Raw genomic sequence first — 19,709 nt, forward strand, 5'->3', positions numbered from 1 at the left:
CCATACTGATTTGGTGGGCTTCCGTCTTCCTCCATTTCAATGACATCATCAGTGTTGGGCATCTGGTTAGGATAAGTAACTTCTTCCACATGTCACCATCCATGTGTCCTTCCCTAAAATAAATTTTGAATCACTCCAAGCTCTGAGGTATTCTAAATCACTTGGCTTAACAGGCAGCAGAATAGCGAGGTGAGAGGTAGTGGGAAGAAGAACTTCCTGATTTTCTGATTCATTGTCCCACAGGTCTTGCTTCAAGTGACATACTCACAAGTTCCACCCAGTATGGAGTACAGAGGTTATCAGAAGAAGAAATGACAGAGTTAAGCCCCCATGAGTTTCACAGCAGGCACATGACTGCAAAATTGGAATCAGAGTTGACTGTTTTAGCAAACACACAAGTGGTGGCAATGTAACATATGAAAGCCATTGCCCAAATGACCCAAGCCATCTGTATCAGTCAGCTATGCTACAATAATGCTGTATAACAAACAATCCCAAAATTCATTATAAGGACATTCATTTATTATCGTGTTCACAGATCTGTAAGTTGACTATAACCAGCTGAGCTAGGATGAACTTAATGCTCTAGATTCTGACTCTGGGCTCCAGGCTATAAACTGGGTTTAGATCTGTTTCAAGTGTCTTTCACCCTACCTGTACCAGCAGTCACCTAGATCATGTAGCTTGTTCTACATGTCACATTCTAGAGCCCAGGTCTACAATTCCTTCTCAGATACAAATATTGCTACTACACTACATTGCTTCTTGCTGTCTATATTACTTAAGTACTAAAATGTCTAATAAGTACATATATTCTCAGGTCTAGCTCTTACCATGATGTCATCAGCTCAAGATTGCATGACTTTTATAAAAATAGCAGCAGCTACTTGGACCTGTTCTTCACATGGTGCATCACCAGAGTACAAGAGGTCAAGGTCAACTACACAAGCACGTTCCAAGTCTCTGCTCATGTTGAAGGCTTGCTCACATCACATCTACTAGCACTCCCTTGGGCAAAACAAGTCCCATGGCAAGTATTAGAGTCAAGGGGCAGGAAAGTACCCCCACCCAATCATGAGGCCATGGCAGGGTTGTGGATGTGTAATATGTCTTCAAGGAACTCAAGAATTGAGACCAATTATTCAATCAAATCACCCCAAGTGTTTCTTGACCCTTTCTCTCCATCCATACCATATATCAAACCACCAACTCCTACTAATTCTACCTGCTTATCATATCTAATCCATCCATTTCTCCATCCCCTTACACTATCTTTTCTAAGCCCCCAACATCTCTCATATGGACCACTCCCATAGCACCCTCCCTGGTGGTGCCACTTCAAGCCATTTCCCACATTGTGACCAATGTGGCTTTCCTAAAAGGCATATCTGATAGTGCCTCTGCTCTACTTTTTGATGGGCTTCCCTTCACACTCAGGATAAAGTCCAGAAACCTTAACTTGATCCACAAGGTCTTATGTGAACCAGTCTGTCTACCTCTTTGTTCTTATTTCTTCCCTGTTCTCCCTCACTCTCTGCCTCAGTCACACTGTCTTCCCCAACAAGCCTCCAAAACACATATTCTCATCTGTCCAAATGACCTTCTCTATTGATGGTATAGAAGGCTCTTCCGACCCTCTCCTTCCCTGGATAACTTCCTCCTATTTTTCACGTCTCTGCTGAAGAAATGTGTTTACAAAAAAGCCTCCCTTGATGCCATAAACCAAGGTAGATCCTGAATGGTTTTTAAACATGTCTGAAAAATGTCCATGTAGGAGTCTATTTCCCCTACCCTTAGACCTAAGAGGGACTTTGTGACTGTCCCCATGAGTAGAATACAGCAAAAGTGACATTGCATGCCCTCTGAGGCTGGGTTAGGAAACCATATCACTTCCACTGGTTTCTCTTGGGACACTCACCCTTGAAACCCAGTCTCTATGCTGTGAGGAAGCCCAGAACACATGGAGAGGCCCATGTGGAGGTAACTTAGGCCTCCCAGCCAACAGCCCCAGCTGAGCTCCCAGCTGACAGCAAGCACCATCTTGCCAGTCATATGAATAGGCCACTTTGGAAATAGATCCCCCAGCTCTTAGTCAACCCAACCAATGCCACGTGGAGAAGAGACAAGCCTTCCCCACTGAGCCCAGCCCAAGCTGCAGATTTGTGAGCAATATTACTGCCATTGTTGTTTTAAGATTGCTGTCGTCTTAAGTCACAGTCTGGGGGCAGTTTGTGACTCAGCCTTAGCTAACAAGAACTGTGCCCCATTTATGGCTTTTAAGTCACTGTGATATCCTGTCACTCTAACCCATAAGCTATAAAGGCACAGACCATGTTGCTGCTGTAGCAATCTGTCCCTGTTACATAGCAGGTCCTCAGTACATATTTTTTGACCAATGACAGGGATCTGGGTTTTGGTAGGAAAAGCCAACCTTCTCTGGGAATGCAGGCTCATAAGCAAACACCCCACCTTCCCTTGCCTCTCTTTTCTCATCACAGTCACAAATGACACCTCCAAACCTACTTGTATTTTAAGTAAAGTATCTATAAGAGTTCCAGCAGGATACAGTACGCTCAGATTAGAATAATTTGAAAATAGCGTAGTTCACTGTGGCTGCTGTAACAAATGACCACAAACCCAGTGTCTTAAGAAACACAGAAATTTATACTTTCAGTCCTGGAGACCAGAAGTCTGAAATCAAGATGTCAACAGGGTCACACTGTCTCTGACGGCTCTAAGGGAAGGTCCTTCCTTGCCTCTCCAGCTTCCAACGGTTCCAGGCATTCCTTGACTGTGACTGCATCGCTCCAACCTCTGCCTCTATCTTCAAATGGCCTTTTCTCCTTTTCCTTATTTGTCTTTCCTTTGTCTCGTGTAAGGACACATGTCATAGGATTTGGGGCCCACCCAGGTATTCCAGGATGATCTTATCTCAAGATCCTTCACTACATCTGCAAGGACCCTGTTTCCACATTCATGGTTTCAGGGAGTAAGATGTGGACATGTGTGTCTTTTGGGTTTTTTTTTTAATTTTTTTGTCTTTGTTTTGTTTTGTTTTGTTGAGACAGAGTCTCGCACTGTCACCCAGGCTGGAGTGCAGTGGCACAATCTCGGCTCACTGCAACCTCCACCTCCTGGGTTCAAGCAATTCTCCTGCCTCAGCCTCCCGAGTAGCTAGTATTACAGGCTCCCACCACCATGCCTGGCTAATTTTTTTGTATTTTTAGTAGAGACGGGGTTTCACCATGTTGGCCAGACTGGTCTCGAACTCCTGACCTCATGATCTGCCCACCTCGGCCTCCCAAAGTGCTGGGATTACAGGTGTGAGCCACTGCTCCTGGCCTGACATGTCTTTTTGATACTATCATTCAACCCACTACCTAGGGCTAATTCAAGGGCTATTTTTAAATGCATGGGAAAGGTTGAGGGAGCCATAGTGAGGTACCCAGTCACAGTAGAACTCTTACCATCTCTAGAGCTGAAAGGAGGAGAATTGGGGGTTGTACCAGAACCAGAGAAAGAGAGGTGTGTGGCAACTCTCCAGGAGACAGTGTCCCTCCAAGAAGAGGGCTTCGTGGAGAAAAGTAGTGACTTTGAGTCCAAGGACACAACCAGACCAAGGTAACCCAAGGAGAGAGTCAAGGGAGCAATCTCTCTTCCTCCTAACTCCCCTCCACCAGGATGCCCTTGGTCAAGCCAAACCTAGAAGCCAGAGGGCAAGGAAGTCCACAGTAACATCTGCATGGGTCAGCTTCCTAGGCAGAGAGTAAAGGAAGATGGAGAGTGGAGCTGGAGGGGCAAGCAGAAAAGATCTGGAACAAACAGTGTGCTCAGAAAAGAAAGGACAAGAGGATCCCACATGGACTTGCAGATATAATACAGAAGCTTCCAACCAGAATGGCATGGGCTCCCTATAAAGAGTCAAGAGACCTGGACCCTTGACCCTGCTGTGCCACACAGAAGCTGGACACCTGAAGTAAGTCACTTTTCTTCTCTCAGCCTTCCTTTCCTCTTTTGCAAAAGAGGGAAATCTAATGTGCCCTACTTGCCTCAGATGGTCTGAAGTTCAAACAAGGGAACAGGTGGGAAATTGTATGCTCTTCACAGAGGCATATTTTTATCTCTGCTGCTTTCCAACCCCTGGAAGAGAACAGAGAACCTAACACATAGTAGATGCTAACATGTATTTGTCTAAATAATCATGACATTGAAACCCAATCAATGTCTTCTAGGATCCCATGGGGGGTGGATTCATGGCCCCTTCCACCCAATAATGGGGTGAACTGTATGGACTAAAACCTTCTTGAGGTTATAGCCTCTTATAACCTGCCTTATAAGCATGCTGCCCATTCAGAATTGGTCATTTCATAAATTAAGTGGGTCCTGATGGTGGTAGTGGAGCTGCCAGTGATAGTCAGAAGCATACCATCTACTAAAAAAGGACAAAAACCCAAGTCAAATAGACTTAACCAAAAAGGAGGATGTATTGGTTCACAAAACAAAAAATTTCATGTCAGATCGAGCGAGTTAGAATAAGGACCCATCAGTTCAAACACGGACCCAGTTCCTCTCTCTCCCTCTCCATTCTGTCTTGGAAACTGTTAGACTTGAACAGTGTTTGTACACATTTGGACATCTATACAAGGCCCTCTGATGCTCTAGAAACTTCCTTTCCATTAGCAACACAGTGAACACATGGCTTCCCCGCAGCCTGAGGGGGAAAGAGGGTCTCCTCTGGTCGCTTTCTCAGAGGGGAAAAGAGGCCTGTCTGTCAAAAATCCAAACAAATGTCTTCTTGCATTTCACAGGCCTGGATTGGTTCAGTACTCAACCCTGAGCCAATGCTTGTGGTCTGGGCTGGGGGCGTGGTGGAGGGAGATTTGTACATTGGCTTGCACTAGTTGGGTCTTGAAGCTGGGTGTTGGCGCAGTCCCACCCAAACCACATGGCTAAGAGAGATAAACCTGTCCAGAAAAATGCTAGGTAATGCTGCTAGGGAGAACAGATCGAATGCCGGTGAACATACACAGACCACTGCCTCACATTTGAGTTACAATTTCCGAAGCTCCTTTCTCACACATTGTCTCTGTGGACCCTTACAGAAGCTCTCTAAGGGACAGAATGAAGGCTTTTTGGCTCTAATATTTTCCACCACACTTACTAAGTGCATGCACATCTCTTTCCCTAACAGGAGTGATGCCAGGCAAGCCATTTCATTTTACCTCTGCATTCAGGGACATCGTGTTGGTAGCTTGAAGACAGCCATGCTGGGAATAGTTACACCATGGGAACTGCCAAACAGTACACAACAGGTAAGTTTTGTTCAGAAAGCTGATTTGCTGGCCCACTGAAGAGCTTCTGGCTCTGAGATTCTCCACAAAGTTCACCAAGGGGGTCAGAGAAGGATTTGTTTACCAGCCCCAGTCATCCTCCATTCAACCCCACAGTGGTCTTTCGAGAACAAGACTATGACATTTCATGACATTCTTTCATAGCTACCTATTACCTTCAAATTATCTTTCCAGATTCATTCCCTTACCCATCCTTTGAGCACTGGTTGTCAGTCACTTGCTATTCACAAAGCTCCAGCTGTTTTCTCACCTCCGTGACTGTGCACATGCTGTTTCCTCTGCTTGGAACACCCGTGTTTCCATCCTCCACGTGAGGGACCCTTCCTCCTCCACCAAGACTCAATGCAAAGGCTGCAGGCATTCTCCTCCTCCAGGTAGAGCTGGCTGATCTGTCTTCTGTGGTCCCACCACCTCTCCACCCCAGAACTGCCAAAATCTTGCTAGAATGTAATTACTCATCTACATATCTGTCACCTCCAGATGACTGCCTGCCTGGTTCACTGTTGTATTCTCAATGTCTAGCACAGAGCCCAGCCTACACTAGATAGTTCAAAACTAATTCTCAGATCAACAATGAATAAAACAAAGAAGTATTTAGCACCCACTATATGCCAGATACTGTACTAAGCATTGAAATTTGTGAGAGGGGTCAAGACATGGTCCTTGACCTCAAAGAGCTCAGATTATGCACATAAATAAGCAAGATTAAGACCTATGCTAAAATAAACAAGATAGAGACCTAAGTTAATCATCATTGCATCCCTTCTACTTAGCACTTAATATGTGCTAAACAACTGTTTGTGGAAAGAACGATGGTTCAAAACCCCCTTGACTTATTCAGGCCAGCAGAGGGGCATTCTTGACTCGGCTGTCATTTGTAATACACCATCATCACCAGACACTATTAAGCATCCGTGTAGTATAAACACAAAGCGAGTTACACAGACGCAGCCCCTGATGTCTGGGAGTCTGCATTAAACTAATGACATCAGCTCTCGGCAAACAGGAAAGAACAAACAAGCAGAGAAAGAAGTTGTGTGCTCCATGGTGAAATGGGAATGAGCAACCCAAGCTCGTGACGGGATCAGGGCACAGGCACATTGAGTACCAGGGACTCAGGCCAGCCGCCCTTTTTGGGTGGGATAAAGAGCATGCATCACCACTGCATTACCACTCTAAGGAGAAATGAAATGATGAAGACTTGAACACGAGGTGTGTAAGACTGAGAAATCATAATAGTAGTCATGATTGACATTTTCTTCACTATTGTCTGTGCACCAGGTACCATGCTGGCCACTGTATCTCTAGCAGGTCATTGAATCCTCACAATAGTCCTGAGGTCAATATTCACTTTATACAAATTAAAAACTGAGGTTCAAAAGAGGTAAGTCACTTGCCTAAAATTGCACAGCCAATAATAGGGAAGCCTGGGTTTCCAACTCAGATCTAATTCCTGAGCCTGATTTTTAGCCATAGCATTATACTACCTCAGAGAAGCTAGAAAAAGTGCAGACAAGTTTTAACCCTCTTTTCCAAGAGGGAAAGAGTTTGGATGAAATATGCATAAGTGTTTGACAGGTGAGCCTCCCTACGGCCAGGATGCAGAACTGCTCCATCACCACAAAGAAATTCCCTCGTGTTACTCCCTGTAAGTCTCACCCTTCCTCAATAGGCAGTTTGTTTCATAGCTGAGAAACCCAGCCAAGCAAACTGGGCTAGCACAGATCTCTCTTACATTTTTTGATCTGCTAATTTACTGTTGTGCTTCCTCCACGCAACTGGCTTGTAAATTGCACATCCTCATGAGGGGGTCATCTTAGCATTTCCCTTCCTCTCTCCTCTTCTCAAGCCTAAAATGCCAACATAAAGCCTTCCAACTGGGACAGGAGATAAGAAATGAGGAGGCAGCTGGGAGCATGAAATGGATCAGGGTGCAGAGGTAGGAACAGCCCATGGACATGCCTAGTGGCTGGACCAGTTGTGTGTGGTGGTGAGGCGGGAAAGGGTGAACCTCAATGCCAAGTCAACTTTCTTCTTTTTTGTTGGAAAATTGCAAACATATATTTGACACAGACTCAAATTCACACATGAAGAGAAGCCAGAGTCGAGAGCTGCAGGCCCCAGGTTCCAAACTGGTCAAAGAAAGCTCACTGTCATTGTAAATCTTCTACAGGAACACTCCTGGTATTGTGTGACCATTAAAGGTATGGGCTTTGGAATTGGTCCTGTCTGGTATTAACGCTCTGTTTCAGTACTTGGTAGGGATGTTGCGGTGAGTTTGAGTAGTGCCCTGCCCACCCCACTACCACCAAAAAAAATACATCCACCCAGAACCTCGGAATGTGACCTTATTGAGCCTAAGAGTCTTTGCAGAGATAATAAAGGTAAAGTTCTCTAGATGAGACCATCCAGGATTAAGTTGTGCCCTATATGCAGTGATAGATGTCCTCATAAGAGACAGAAAAAAGAAGACAGACACACAGGGAGGAAGCCCATGTGAAGACAGAGGCAGAGACGAGTGATGGAGTCACAAGCCGAGGAATGCCTGGAGCCGCCAGAAGCTGGAAGATGTTAGGAAGGATCCCCGCTAGGGCCTTCGGAGGGAGCACAGCCCCACCAACACCTCAATTTCAGACATTACACCTCTAGCACTGTGGGAGAATACATTTCTGTTGTTTTAGGCCACCAAGTTTGGCAGACCTAAAAACTAATAGGAGTGATGCCAGGCAAGCCATTTCATTTTACCTCTGTAAGACTATTTTCCCATCTTTAACATGTCTAAAATGGGTATGTATTAGGCTGTTCTCACATTGCTATAAAGAAATCTCTGAGACTGGATAATTCATGAAGAAAAGAGGTTTACTTGGCTCACCATTCTGCAGGCTGTACGGACAGCATGATGCTTGCATCTTCTCAGCTTCTGGGGAGGTCTCAGGAAGCTTACGGTCATGGCAGAAGGTGAAGGGGGAGCAGGCACCTCGCATAGCCAGAGCAGGAGCATGAGAGAGTGGGAGGAGGTGCCACACCCTTTTAAATAACCAGATCTCTTGAGAACTCACTCAAACATCAAGGGGATAGTGTTAAACCATTCATGAGACATCCCCCCCCCTCCGCCCCCACCACGATCCAATCATCTCCCACCAGGTCTCACCTTCAACACTGGGGATTACAATTGAACATGACAGTTGGGTGGGGACACACATCCAAACCACATCAGGGTGTCAGAATAATATCTGCCTTTCAGAGATGGCAGGAAGATTCAGGGCAGGCCTCTGTAAACAGTTGCTGCTATCATTGTAAATTTTATGAGCCCATCAATTACAGAAGGATGTCCATGAACAGACTCTCCCCATGCCCTGATAACAAATGTCAAGTGTGAGGAGAGAGAACATGGGGTGCAATGTGTCAATCTTGTGGACTGTAGCCCAGGACATCAGAGGTAGTAGGTAGGAAGGGTAAAAATGGTGAAACGCTGAGAGAGGGCAAAAGAAGAGTTCCTTCAAATGCTTCTGAGAGGGCCTGAGACCCAGCTGCACAGATCTCTGAGCCTCAGTTTGTTTTACTATAAAGTGGGGATAATAAAACCTCCCTCGTCAGGCTGCTCTGAGGATAAAAGGAAATTCCATGTGGAAAGTGCTTACAACAATTTCTGATATTTATTCACTCACTCCATTGATAATTGTAGAACCCTTCTGTATGCTGGGCACCATGCTAGGCACATGGAAAGCACTCAATGAATGGTCTCCACTGTTTTTATTTTTGTTACTGCTTTTTTTTTTTTTTTTTTTTGAGACGGAGTCTGGCTTTATCACACAGGCTGAGGTGCAGTGGCGTGATCTGGGCTCACTGCAACCTCCACCTCCTGGGTTCAAGCAATTCTCCTGCCTCAGCCTCCCAAAGTAGCTGGGATTACAGGCACATGCCACCATGCCCAGCTAATTTTTGTATTTTTACTAGAGACGGGGTTTTGCCACATTGGCCACGCTGGTCTCGAACTCCTGGCCTCAAGTGATCTTCCTGCCTTGGCCTCCCAAAGTGCTAGGATTACAGGCATGAGCCACCACGACTGGCTTGTTATTAATATTGGGTGGGCTGAGAACATCTCTACTGACTGGGCTTCCCTGACTGTGAAAGAAGGATGAGAAGAGATCATCCTTTCTCCTCCCCATCAATCCCAGTCAGCTCACAGATGTTCTCTTTGGCATGTCCCTTAGGGGCATCCATCCATCATGGAAATATTTTTCGAGACCACAAGGAGGGGAACGCTGTGGCCAACATTCCCCACCCCTAGGACCATGGGAATCTGCCCTGAGGACATGGCTCCATGGCTTCCCAGAAATACAACAGGAGTTGAAGGCCGCATAAATCTAGCAAAGTGACTTCAAGCTATTCAAGCTGCTCAGCTAAGAAATAGGACACAGGGATGTCACAAGTTCCACTGTGCTTCTGGACCCCAATAAGAAAAATCACTCCATTTGTTCTTTCATTTGTTCATTCTTCCAATAAACATTTTTTGAGCTTCCCTCTGTGTAAGAAGCTGTTCTAGGCTCTGAGAATTCAAAGAGGAGAATAAACAGACGGTATCTCTTCCATCATAGCAATAATAGCTCAGTTGATCATACATATAAATATATTATTGCAAACTATAAATAAGTACCCCGAGGAGAAGTTACCCATTGTGATAAGAGTGTTCACAAAAAGATCTAACCATAGAGTTCAGGAGAGGGGACTGATCAGGGAAGGCTTCCTTAAACTGAAGGCTGGAATACAATGAGTAGAAGCTTAAAAAGTCAGAGTGGGCATGGAGAAGGGTGCCAGGCAGTGGGAACAGCTTGTGCAAAGGCCCTGTGGTTGGAGGCTGAATTGCTGGAGGGCAGAAAGGAGAAAGGGCTTGTGGAGAACAAGGAATGAGATAGAACAAAGAGAGCAAGGGTGAGACTTGCAGGCTCTTCTAAACTTTGGAAAAGACCAATCCTTAATCACAGAGCAAACACTTACTGAGCACATCCTTGATGCCAGGTGCTGTGCCAAGTGTTTTGCATGATCGGCCTCTGTCAGTACTTGTCACAGACTTGTGAGGTTGTCACAGTGTACCTCAGCTCAATTTCACAGGTAAGAACCTGGGTCAAGGAGGTTTATTTACTTGCTCAAGCAGCAAAAGAAGTCCTTGCAAATATTTTAGCTCTGGGTTTTGGGGTTTTGTTTTGTTTGTTTGTTTCCTTAAGCAAAAGAAAGATAAGGAGAATTTTTGGAGTTTAGGGGGTTGGAGTAAGGTGGGGAAGGGGTCAGCATACATGACTTGAACACACTCCCCAGGAAAGTCAGATGGAACAGAATAATATTAACACTGCACATTTGAGTAGCACTTTCTCTTCTTTTGATAGTTCCCTCCAACTCTCAAGGTAATTATTATGATTATCCCATTTTCTTAAAGGGGTAAACTGAGGCAATGAAAAGCTGAATGCTGTGCTCTGAAACATAGAACTCATAAATTCTAAGAGCTAAAGCCAGAACATGAACTGCGTTTTATTTGACTCCTAAAGCAGGGCTCCTTCTGCTCCCTCCAACTTCTACTCTGGGGCTATCAGCCTTCCTTGCCTTGAGTGTGTCATCCTGGTCACCATCTCATGCTAAGACTCTTCTCATAAACTCACAGGGATTAATCAGAAGAGAGCATTTTCAAGAAGAGCTTTAATAAACTCTAACCTGGTTTCTGTACCCTTAAATAGCAAAGGATAAAACACAATGGTTTAACATAATTCCTAATAAGGAATTTTATTTTTTAACAGGAACTTTGTTATAGATCAGGATCCGTATTTTATCCTTGTCAGTCACACTTTTCACACCTGTAATCTTAGCCAAGTTTACCTCAACCTGAGTTTCAACTCCCTCGTTTTGTCAAAGGGGGCATTATTGCACACCTACTCACCAAGACAGCTGTGAGACTTACAGAAAACAATCCGTGTGAAGTCCTTGGTGCATAGAAAATGCTATGTAAAGTGAGCCCTTACTACTCCTATCCCAATGATTATTTCTATTATTAGCAATTACTGTTCATACCTTGTTGGGCAGTGACCCCACAGTTAAGAATGATGAATGAGCTGTCCTCAAGAACTTTCCAACTAAAAAGGAGGGCCAAGTATTTTCACAAGACAAGGCATCAGGCCATGTTGGAAAGACCTTTAACAAACAAGCTTTGAAACAACAGATAATAAATGACCTGATGAACTCTTTGTTAATCAGGGGAGACAAATGCATATGAACTTAAACCTGTGCAGTAGGCTGCTCACACGTGTTATAAGCTAACAGACAGACCTCTGCTGGGATATTGTGTATGCCCCACCCCCCCCACCCAATAACATCCCAAGAATATAATATCCCCTTTGGTTAGCTCAGGTCCCCCAGCCATAAAAAGAAAAAGCGGGTTTGACCGGGCACAATGGCTCACGCCTGTAGTCCCAGCCCTTTGGGAGGCCAAGGTGGGCGGATCACCTGAGGTCAGGAATTCAAGACCAGCCTGGCCAACACAGCGAAACGCTGTCTCTACTAAAAATACAAAAATTAGTCAGGTGTGGTGGCACATGCCTGTAATCCCAGCTACTCCGGAGGCTGAGGCAGGAGAATTGCTTGAACCCAGGAGGCGGAGGTTGCATTGAGCCGAGATCGCGCCATTGCACTCCAGCCTGGGCAACAAGAGTAAAACTGTGTCTCAAAAAAAAAAAAAAAAAAAAAAAAAAAAAAAAAGTGGGTTTACAGCTACCTTTTATGGAGCACTGTTTTTTCCCATATATTTACATACATTTGCTTACATTATATCCCAATTAAGCATTCTGTCAACCCTCTATGATATTTATTCCTGTTACTTCCGTTTTAGAGATGAGAACATTAAAGTTTGTTAAGTCACTTGTCCAAGTGACAGAACCAGGTTTTAAATTCTGGGCTGTTTGATTCAACACTCTTAGACCACTTTGCTCTACAGCCCCAATTATTGGCCTCCAAGCCCTCTCCAGCTCTAAAGATTGCACAGTTCTTGGGTATAAACCCATCCTTTGCACTGCTTCCTGAAAATCCTCTTTGCTGTTCTTCCTGGAAATCCTCTTGTAAACGTTATTCTTCCATATGTCAGCCTTGGCAGCCCCAGGCAGGGTCAGGGGACAGCCAGGCCAGAGAAGTTGAGTTTCACTAGCCATAAATCCTCTGTCTCCGACATGCCCCTTAACTGCTTATCTTTGGAAAACATGACCCAGCATAAGCCAGGGGAATAGCAGGCCGAGTCATGAAGCCACTGGCCAGGGAACACGAGGTATCCAGGGTTGTGTTCCCAACATCAGACTGTGCAATGTCAGCCATCCAACCCACTCTCCCTCCCCCCACAAAATGTTCTGGCCCAGAGAGATGTCACGGGAACATCACCATAGGTCTCTCATCTAGTCCCCAAGACATTCATTCTTGCCAGATACCCTCCCGGCCATTACCCTGCAGTTGTCCTTCACCCTCTGATGTGTTTCAGATGTGTAAATATGATATGAAAGCTCCAATTTCAAAGCCCCTGTGGACTGAGTCTTGGGCCTCTTGGGCCTTGGGTTCTGCACTAAGTGGCCTTTCCCATGGATGGATGGCTCCATCAGACATCCCTGCAGTGGGCCATCTTCCCAAAGGCCTTCAACTTCCTGACAGAAAGGGTACCAGAATCCCCTCACCCCAGAGTGAGACAAGGGGAAGAAAGCTGGGGAAAAGATTAAACTCTTGCTAACCTAGGGGGTGCACAATCAGAAAGCTCAAATGACCACACATTGGGTTGGAGGTGTAGGGGGAAGGAGAGTACCCAATAAACCTATAATTGTCAGAGACTGTTTCCTAAGAGCAACATCGGGGGCAGGGCTCCTCAAATCTGGCTGCACATCAACATCACATGGAGAGGGTTTTTAAAATACTGCTGCTTGGCCGGGTGCAATGGCTCACACCTGTAATCCCAGCACTTTGGGAGGCCAAGGAGGGTGGATCACAAGGTCAGGAGATCGAGACCATCCTGGCTAACATGGTGAAACCCTGTCTCTACCAAAAATACAAAAAACTAGCCAGGTGTTGTGGCAGGCACCTGTAGCCCAGCTACTCAGGAGGCTGAGGCAGGAGAATGGAGTGAACCCAGGAGGCAGAGGTTGCAGTGAGTCAAGATCGCGCCACTGCACTCCAGCCTGGGCGACAGAGCAAGACTCCATCTCAAAAAAAAAAAAAAAAAAAAAAATTGCTGCTTGGACCAACCCCTAGAAATTCGTATTTGATGAGCCAGAAGTTGGGCTCATTAAATGATGTTGGTAGTTGTTATTGTGTTTGTTCAAGTTCCTTAGGTGATTCCATTAGTTTTCTATTGCAACACAGCAAAGTACCCCACGTTTAGGGGCTTCAAAGAACACATAGTTATTATCTTATAGTTTCTGTGGGTCAGGAGCCCAGGAATGGCTTAGCTGGGGCCTCTGCTTCACGGTCTCATGAGGCTGTAATGAAGACGTTGGCCAGAGGTGGGATCTCATCTGAAAGCCCAACCGTGGATGGATCATCCACTTCCAAGCTTCTCAGGTTGTTGGCAAGAATCAGTTTCCTGCAGGTTGCAGGACTGACAGCCTCAGCTCCTTGCTGGCTGTTGGTTGGAGACTGCCCCCAGTTATTTTCCATGTGAGCCTCCTCATTGTGGCAACCCTCTTCACCAAAACCAGCAAGGGAGAGAGGCAGCTAACAAGACAGAAGCTACAATCTTATGCAACATAATTATAGAAGAGCCATCTCATGCCCTTTGCCATGTGCTATTGGCTAGGGCAAGCCACAGGTCCAGCCAACACTCATGGTATAAATATCCAGTGGTGAGATCATTTCAGGCCATCTTAGGGCCTGTCTACCACAGGGAAACTAAGATGCAGCCAATGTCAAGAACCATTCATTTTGGGCAGTGGTTTTCAAATCTCTCAAATCAGACTGGCACTTCTCATGCTTTAAAAAGCATATAAATCTCCTGGGAATCTTGTTAAAATGCAGATCCTGGCTGGCACCTGAGACTGCATTTCTGACTAAGTCCTAGGTGATGCCAATCCACTGATTCTCAAATGACACTTTGAGTCGTGAGGATCTAGGGACTGTCATGGGGCCAAATCATTTTTTTTAAGGTTCAATTCCCACACTGTTGTCAGTGTCACTAGGGTTAGAGCATCCTCCTCAGATGTTACCAAGTATAAAGCTCTCTTTATCAGAACATTGGATTAACAAGAATCTCATATTCAATAATGCATCACTGAACACATGCCCTACTTCTAGTCAAATGGGGTAGTAATAAAACCCTAACAATTTGTTTTTTGAGATATCTGTGTATCAATCGAGTTTATAAAATGTAAATCGGATCAGATTCCTCCTCTATGAAAAACCCACTTACAGCTCTTGTCTTACACAAAGTAGAATCCTTGCCATGGTTTATGTGGTCAGGCTCCTGGGATCTCTCTAACCTCATCTTCCTGTCATTCACTCTGCTTTGGCCACATGGGCCTCCTTGCTGTTCTCTAAATATGCCAAGCATGGCTAATCCCAGGGCCTTTGCACCTGCAGTCTCTTCTGCCTAGAATACCTTTGCTCCAATATTCACATGTATTGCATTCTCATGTCCCACCTGTCTCTGCTCAAATGTCACTGTATCATTTGATTGATACACACGTATCTCAAAAAAATTATTAGGATTGTAACCGAAATGCTGCTACAAAAACATGGTTATTACTATCTACCTATTATTGGCTTCAAATGAGATTAGGTTTACAAATAAAAGAAACAAACAGTGGGTTTCCAGTATGAGCCTTTTCAATCAAAAACTTTTAAGTCTCATACTTTCTTGATTCTAAAAAGTTTCTGAAATCCAATTATGTCTTAAAACTGATGCATACAGCCGGTATATCGTATTTTTTGTTTCTCTAAAACATCAATAATAACTTGGTGCCAATTATTATTATTGCAGTAATCTCATAACTGGCCCTGCTTCCTCCACCTGTGCCCTCATAGTTTACTCTCCACACAATTACCAGAGTTGTCTTCATGAAATCGAAGTCAGATTAGATTGCTCCTTTATGCAAAACCCACCCATTGATCTTGTCTTATACAGAGTAGAATCCTTACTGTGGTTAACATGATCAGGCTCCTGTGACCTCTGTGACCTCATCTTCCACCTCTCTTCCTGTCATTCACTCTGCTTTGGCCATACGGGGCTCCTTGCTGTTCTCTGAATATGCCAAGCCTGACCCGCCCCAGGGCCTTTGCACATGCAGTCTCTTCTGCCTAGAACACCTTTGCTCCAATATGCTCATGTACTGCGTCCTCATGTCCCACATGTCTCTGCTCAAATGTCACTTCATCAGGGAGGCCTTCCATAGCTACCTTATTTATAAAAGCACTCCTGATCCTGCTTTAGTTGCCTTTGTAATACTTATCCTTTCTTTCTTGTCTGACTCCCTAAACCAGAAGGTACACTCCCAAAAGGTGGGGCTTTGTCCACCTTATTCACTGCTGTATCTTTGGCACTTAAATAGCATCCAGCCCATAGGTATCACTTGAATATTTTTTGAAGGAATGATACATTGATGGTGTCCTTGAATTAAGAATCTATGATCTTTCGTTTTTTTTAAAGCCTTTTATAATGTGATTAGGTAAAAATGGCTGTCAACTGAATTTACAAATAAAGGATCTGAGGGTCAGAAAGATCAGGTCATTCACCCAGCTACCAAGCTGGTAAGTGGCAGAGCTGCCATTTGCATCCTTGTGGCTTGAAAGCCCCCAGGCCTTCCCACTACAACATTGAGGGCCAGATGTAAGGTCAGAAGGGACAACTCAGTCACAACTAAAGGGCAGAGTTGTTGTCCAGAGAACCAAGAGGGTTGGGAATCCCTAGGTCCCTGGCTATCTCCTCAGGAGCCTTAGCCACACTTGGCACCTGGAGGTAGGATACCAAATACCCAAACTAGATCTCAGGTGGAAACCAACACTGTTGCCATAGAAGATCCTCCAGGCCACAACCCAGAGAAGGGAGTGAGGAAGTCATTCACCCAGCTCTTCAGAACCTTGGGCAGAGAACTTTCCTCTGGGTGTGTCACACACCACCATCACGGTCCCAGAATGGAGACAAATAGCTCCTAAGTTGTTTTGTAAAAGTTTATTTAAATTGACCTAGATGAAACCACCTGTCATTTTAATGCCATATAAAATCCAAAACCAAAAAACCATGCCATGCATTGCCTTCCAAAACCTCTTAACAGTCCCTGCCAAGACACACACCAGCAACTGCCAGGATTTATAGGGAGGCTCTACAGACCTGTGTTTAAATCCTGTCGCTGGCACCTACCAGCTGTGTGACCTTAGGCAACATACTTAGCTTCTCTGTGCCTCATACAAAATGAGAATAGTTCTAGTCCCATAGGATTGTTGAGAGGATGCGATGAGATGGTCTATGTAAAGTGCTTGGTGCATACTAAGTACTCCATGAATATTAAGGCTTAATTTATTTTAAATCCATGAGGTGTGTTATCCTTTACTGAGTTTCATTTGTGAATACTTACGGTGTGCAGGGCTTCCACTGACATTATCTCATTCCATGCTCACAGCCACTCACAGTCCGGCTCCATGAATAGCCTTCTGTCCCAAAACATCTTCTCCATAGGGGAGAAATAGTATCATTCCAGCATGCAATCAACATGAAAAATGCATTCATGAGATATTTTACATTCTGAGTCATTGGTAGGTCTTTGAAATTCGGTGTGTGTTTCACACTTCAGCACATCTCCATGTGGACTCCCCATGCTGCAAGTGCCTGATAGCCACACATGGCTTGCGGCTATTACACTGTACTGGACAGCATGCAGTTTGTCCTGAATGCAAACTTTCGTAAGTGTTGTCTGAGATCCCAAAGCTTCTCTCTCCAACAAGTCCTTCCCTCCACCAGGAAAGCTCCTGTCTGTCTGCAATCAGCCAGCTGCTCCCAATAAATCTGGAGAGCCACAGAAGGGTGGAGAGCTCCTCCTCATTCTACCTATGGAGGGCCCAGCCCAGGCACAGTCTCCACCAGGCAGTAAGAGGAGGGAGATGCTTGCATTGCCTTTTTAAGTGTCTGTCCTCTCCTCCTAGCTCAGCACCAAATGAGAAACACAAGCCTATGAAGCCAGCATCTCAGTATAAATACATAACCTTACACAGTGGCGTGATGGGGATTGCAGCAAACCATGTTGCCCCATCTAAAAAATCCAACCCCAATCACCTTCTGTTGATTTGGTGCCAATTAGGACCATGCTATTAATGGAGCCGGACTATGAGTGGCTGTGAGCATGGAATGAGATAATGTCAGTGGAAGCCCTGCACACTGTAGTTATTCACAAATGATTCTCAATAAGGATAACACACCCCACGGATTTAAAATAAATTAAGCCTTAATATTTATGGAGTACCTAGTATGCACCAAGCACTTTACATAGACCATCTCATTGCATCCTCTCAACAATCCTATGGGACTAGAAGTCCAGTGTGGTAGACCAAATCCCACTTTTTCAAGTTAAGAAATTGAGATTGTTATATGAAATTTTCTGATGTTAGTGTTGGCTCAATAGTTTTTTTTTTTTTTTAAAAAGTAGACTTTATGTTTTTAGAGAAGTTTTAGGTTCACAAAACTGGGAAGAAAGTACAGAGATTTCCCATACACCCTCTTCCCCCACACATGCACAGCATCCCTCATTACTAACATCCCTCACCAGACGGTGCAGGTGCTACCATCAGTGAACCTGCACTGACAAATCACTACCAAACAAACTCCACAGTTTGCATTAGAGTTCATTCTTGGTGTTGTACATTCTATGGGTTTAGACAAATGTGTAATGACATTGATATGGTTTGGCTGTGTCCCCACCCAAATCTCACCTTGAATTGCAAGAATCCCCACGTGTCAAGGGCAGGGGCAGGTGGAGATAATTGAGTTATGGGGGCAGATTGCCCCATACTGTTCTCATGGTAGTAAGTCTCACGAGATCTGAAGGTTTCATAAATGGGAGTTCCCCTGCACCACTTCTCCTGCCTGCCGCAATGTAATACATCCCTTTGCTCTTCCTTCGTCTTCTGCCATGATTGTGAGGCCTCCCCAGTGATGTGGAACTGTGACTCCATTGAATATCTTTCCTTTATAAATTACCCAGTCTTAGGTATGTCTTTATTAGCAGCATGAGAAACTAATACAGGCAGGTATCTCCCATTTTAGTATCATACAGAATAGTTTCACTGCACTGAAAATCCTCTATACACTACCTATTTATCCCTCCCTCCCCAAGTCCCTGGCAAACACTAATCTTTTCACTGCCTCCATCGTTTTGCCTCTTCCAGAATGTCACATAGTGGGAAGAATACAATACGCAGCCTTTCCAGACTGGCTTCTTTCACTTAATAATACGCATGTAAGTTTCCTCCATGTCTTTCATGTCTTGATAGCTCATTTCTTTCTAGTGCTAAATAATATTTTATCGTCTGGATGTACCAGTTTATTTATCCATTCACCTACTGAAGGACATCATGGTTGCTTCTAAGATTTGGCAATTATGAATAAAGCTGCTATAAACATCCGTGTGCAGGTTTTTGTGTGGACATAAGTTCTCAAGTCCTTTGAGTAAATATCAAGGAGCACAATAGCTGGACTGTATGGTCAAAGTATGTTTAGTTTTGTAAGGAACTGCCACACTGTCTTCCAAAGCAGCTGTACCACTTTGCATCCCTGCCAGCAATGCATGAGTGTTCCTGCTGCTCCACATCCTCACCAGCATTTGGTATTGCCAGTACTCTGGATATTGGCCATTCTAATAGGTGTGTAGCGGTATCTCACTGTCTTTCAAATATATTTTGTTAAATACCCAATGAGCTCCCCTAAAAGGGAAAAAGAAAAGACTTCTACTTTAACCAACACTTCTGTTCTAGGATGGTGAAACTGACAGTGTTGTTCAGAGTAGATCTGCAAAGTAAGGTGCACAAGCTCCAAGGAAGTGCCAAATGATCCACTGGGAAGCAGGAAAATAATAGCACTTGGATTTGGGATTTGTGGTGTTCAAGTTCTGGTTTTGTGTATCCTGTGTATTTATAATGCAGCAGACACCATGGGGCCATATGTCACAAACCTTTGGCTCACCGCAGTTTTGGCTGCAACCACAGTAGATGTTTGCATTAAGCTGGGTTTGCTTTGACAATGCCCCACCCCAGACTCACTCAACTTTCTGCCTTGTGCCCCAGGGCTTTGGCTTTTTGTAGCGCTTGTTCCACCTGTGCAGCCCCAGAAGTGCAGGGACATGGACAGTCCCGGGGGGCAAA

General features: G+C 44.7%; 1 long non-coding RNA gene across 1 annotated transcript in view; it reads right to left on the reverse strand.

Moving 5' to 3' along the window:
- Positions 1-19,709, reverse strand: part of LINC02463 (long intergenic non-protein coding RNA 2463) — an 80,288-nt gene that overhangs the window by 5,250 nt on the left and 55,329 nt on the right. Inside the window, exon 4 of the long non-coding RNA XR_001749337.2 lies at positions 7-113. This is a non-coding gene — a long non-coding RNA (long intergenic non-protein coding RNA 2463). The remainder of the gene's footprint in view (positions 1-6; positions 114-19,709) is intronic.

Source organism: Homo sapiens, chromosome 12, assembly GCF_000001405.40.
Source record: "Homo sapiens chromosome 12, GRCh38.p14 Primary Assembly".
NCBI lineage: Eukaryota > Metazoa > Chordata > Mammalia > Primates > Hominidae > Homo > Homo sapiens.